This window comes from Homo sapiens, chromosome X (genome assembly GCF_000001405.40).
Source record: "Homo sapiens chromosome X, GRCh38.p14 Primary Assembly".
Taxonomy (NCBI): domain Eukaryota; kingdom Metazoa; phylum Chordata; class Mammalia; order Primates; family Hominidae; genus Homo; species Homo sapiens.
This window is the reverse complement of record NC_000023.11, coordinates 116,962,645-116,966,910: the sequence shown is the minus strand read 5'-3', so window position 1 is coordinate 116,966,910 and position 4,266 is coordinate 116,962,645. Positions and strand designations below refer to the sequence as shown.

The 4,266-nt window shown below is 39.6% G+C and overlaps 1 pseudogene; it reads right to left on the bottom strand.

Annotated features, from left to right (window-relative positions):
* Positions 1–3,045: 3,045 nt before the first annotated feature.
* Positions 3,046–3,862, bottom strand: SETP8 (SET pseudogene 8; annotated as a pseudogene).

Below are 4,266 nucleotides of genomic sequence, written 5' to 3'. Positions count from 1 at the left end.
TCCCTTTGAAAACTGGCACAAGACAGGGATGCCCTCTCTCACCACTCCTATTCAACATAGTGTTGGAAGTTCTGGCCAGGGCAATTAGGCAGGAGAAGGAAATAAAGGGTATTCAATTAGGAAAAGAGGAAGTCAAATTGTCCCTGTTTGCAGATGACATGATTGTATATCTAGAAAACCCCACTGTCTCAGCCCAAAATCTCCTTAAGCTGATAAGCAACTTCAGCAAAGTCTCAGGATACAAAATCAATGTGCAAAAATCACAAGCATTCTTATACACCAATAACAGACAGAGAGCCAAATCATGAGTGAACTCCCATTCACAATTGCTTCAAAGAGAATAAAATACCTAGGAATCCAACTTACAAGGGATGTGAAGGACCTCTTCAAGGAGAACTACAAACCACTGCTCAATGAAATAAAAGAGGATACAAACAAATGGAAGAACATTCCATGCTCATGGGTAGGAAGAATCAATATTGTGAAAATGGCCATACTGCCCAAGGTAATTTATAGATTCAATGCCATCCCCATCAAGCTACCAATGCCTTTCCTCACAGAATTGGAAAAAACTACTTTAAAGTTCATATGGAACCAAAAAAGAGCCCGCATCACCAAGTCAATCCTAAGCCAAAAGAACAAAGCTGGAGGCATCACACTACCTGACTTCAAACTATACTACAAGGCTACAGTAACCAAAACAGCATGGTACTGGTATCAAAACAGAGATATAGATCAATGGAACAGAACAGAGCCCTCAGAAATAATGCCACATATCTACAACTATCTGATCTTTGACAAACCTGAGAAAAACAAGCAATGGTGAAAGGATTCCCTGTTTAATAAACGGTGCTGGGAAAACTGGCTAGCCATATGTAGAAAGCTGAAACTGGATCCCTTTCTTACACCTTATACAAAAATCAATTCAAGATGGATTAAAGACTTAAACGTTAGACCTAAAACCATAAAAACCCTAGAAGAAAACCTAGGCTTTACCATTCAGGACATAGGCATGGGCAAGGACTTCATGTCTAAAACACCAAAAGCAATGGCAACAAAAGCCAAAATTGACAAATGGGATCTAATTAAACTAAAGAGCTTCTGCACTCTGCCATCAGAGTGAACAGGCAACCTACAAAGTGGGAGAAAATTTTTGCAACCTACTCATCTGACAAAGGGCTAATATCCAGAATCTACAATGAACTCAAACAAATTTACAAGAAAAAAACAAACAACCCCATCATAAAGTGGGCAAAGGACATGAACAGACACTTCTCAAAAGAAGACATTTATGCAGCCAAAAATCACATGAAAAAATGGCTCATCATCACTGGCCATCAGAGAAATGCAAATCAAAACCACAATGAGATACCATCTCACACCAGTTAGAATGGCAATCATTAAAAAGTCAGGAAACAACAGGTGCTGGAGAGGATGTGGAGAAATAGGAACACTTTTACACTGTTGGTGGGACTGTAAACTAGTTCAACCATGGTGGAAGTCAGTGTGGCGATTCCTCAGGGATCTAGAACTAGAAGTACCATTTGACCCAGCCATCCCATTACTGGGTATATACCCAAAGGACTATAAATCATGCTGCTATAAAGACACATGCACACGTATGTTTATTGCGGCATTATTCACAATGGCAAAGACTTGGAACCAAGCCAAATGTCCAACAATGACAGACTGGATTAAGAAAATGTGGCACATATACACCATGGAATACTATGCAGCCATAAAAAATGATGAGTTCCTGTCCTTTGTAGGGACATGGATGAAATTGGAAGTCATCATTCTCAGTAAACTATGGCAAGAACAAAAAACCAAACAACGCATAATCTCACTCATAGGTGGGAATTGAACAATGAAATCACATGGACACAGGAAGGAGAATATCACACTCTGGGGACTGTTGTGGGGTGGGGGGAGGGGGGAGGGATAGCACTGGGAGAAATACCTAATGCTAGATGACGAGTTGGTGGGTGCAGCGCACCAGCATGGCACATATATACATATGCAACTAACCTGCACAATGTGCACATGTACCCTAAAACTTTAATAAAACAAAAACAAAAACAAAAAAAAACAAAAAAAAAGAAAATTTAACAAAACTAATAATTGGAAGTGATTACATTTTATTAAATTAGATTTTACTTTGATAAAATAATCACCTCTGAGTATTTAAAAATATTTTCCCAGAATTATTGAGGTATAATCGGCAAACAAAAATTATGTATATTTAAGGTGTACAACAATGTTTTATATGTATTCATTGTGAAATGATCACTATGATCAAACTAATTAACATAACCATCACCTCTTATGCTTACCTTTCTTTGGTGGTAAGAACACTTTAGACCTGCTTACTCTATTTTGTGTCTGTGTATGTGTGTACACATTTAGTTTTATTGTAACAAAGCAACTTGTACACTTTTGATATTTTAAAACTGAGCATCATCTTTCCTTTCAAGTGAAACAGAAAGAAAATTTAAAAATAAACAAGAATAAAATTGCAATGGAGAATGTCAATTCCAAATAAGATTGTACAGGTTCTGCTGATTCTTCCATTGAGTGGCAGGGCTTAAGTCATCATTAGGAGATAATTCATTATAAAGTGTCATCTTAAACTGCAAAGATGTCTGTCAAATATCACAATTAAACATACCAAAGGAGAAACCATGTTGTTAAAATGCCCACTTAACCCATCCAAACATCTCAAACCCACCCTTTGCTGACCTTCTATAACCCCATTTTTTTTTCTTTTCTTAAACAAGAGAAAGTAGACAGATACATGTTGCTAAATGCTAACTGTCCATATTCACTTAGAGACACAGTGTACTCTCTGAGCCCAATATACAGAGAAAAGAGGAAGAAAGCTAGAATTCTATCCACTACTACACAGGGGCCTAGCACCTTCCAGCTTCCAGCAGAGCGAAAGGAGCAGGTTTTTCTTTTTTCCCACAGAGCTCAGTGGTGTTGATTCTGTACAGTTTTTGTTCAGACAGGAATGGATAAAAATGAATTTTGAACAAAAAGGGGTAGAGACTCTTTTCCCATTGTATTCTGCTCAAGGTATTTTCCCCCAAATAAGTTGAGAACCATGGTGTAGAGAAAAGAGACCTCAAGAACAGAGCAACTCAGGAAAAAAAAAAAAAAAAAGCCTGCAACTTGCTCCCAGGGACTGGAGAAAATTTTTAAAAAGGAAGGTTGGAATCCATCAGTTTTCTATTAGTCATCTTCCCCTTCATCCTCCTCTCCTTCCTCCCCTTCATCATCATCTTCATCTTCTTCACCTTCATCCTCATCCCCTTCTTCATCAATATCTTCTAATCCTTCCTCCTCTTTATCATCATCATCATCATCATCGTCTTCTTCTCCTTCTCCTTTTTCATCATCCATACTGGGAACCAAGTAGTACTGTAATGGGTTTGGCCAAATATCATCTTTGATTACCTCTCCTAATTCATCAGCACCTGCATCAGAACGGTCAGTAAACAAGGTAAAGAAGCTCTCTGGTTCCTCATGCTGCCTCTTTCTACTGGCTTTATTCTGCGTTTGACTTGAACGTTTTGTCAAATCCTTCCCAGATTTCCATTTGATTTTGGTGGACTTTGAAGATGGATCACCAATCTCATTCAGAGGAAATTCTTTGGAGAGAAATTTATTTTTAAAGCAAGGATTTTCATCAAAATAAAAATCTATTCTATAACCTGATTTAACATCTCCAAATTCTGTCACTAGTCAAATAATGTAGAGCCTCTTCATTCTCCTCCCCAAGGAGTACAGACACTTGTGGATGGTTGACAAATGTTGTTACCCAAAAATTCAGGATTTTGGCGATCAATTCTGACCTCTTCTGCTGACAATATAGCCGAATAGGAACAGCTCCGGTATGCAGCTCCCAGCGAGATTGAGGCAGAAGGCAGGTGATTTCTGCACTTCCAACTGAAATACCCAGTTCATCTCACTGGGACTGGTTGGACAGTGGGTGAAGCCCACAGAGGGTTAGCCGAAGCAGAGTGGGGTGTCCCTCACCCTGGAAGCACAAGGGGTCAGGGGATTTCCCTCCCCTAGGCAAGGGAAGCCGTGAGGGGCTGTGCCATGAGGAACTTTGCACTCGGCCCAGATTCTGTGCTTTTCCCACGGTCTTTGCAACTCGAAGACCAGGAGATTCCCTCTGGTGCCTACATCACCAGGGTCCTGGGTTTCAAGCACAAAACTGGACGGCCATTTGGGCAGACACTGAGCTACCTAGCTGCGGTT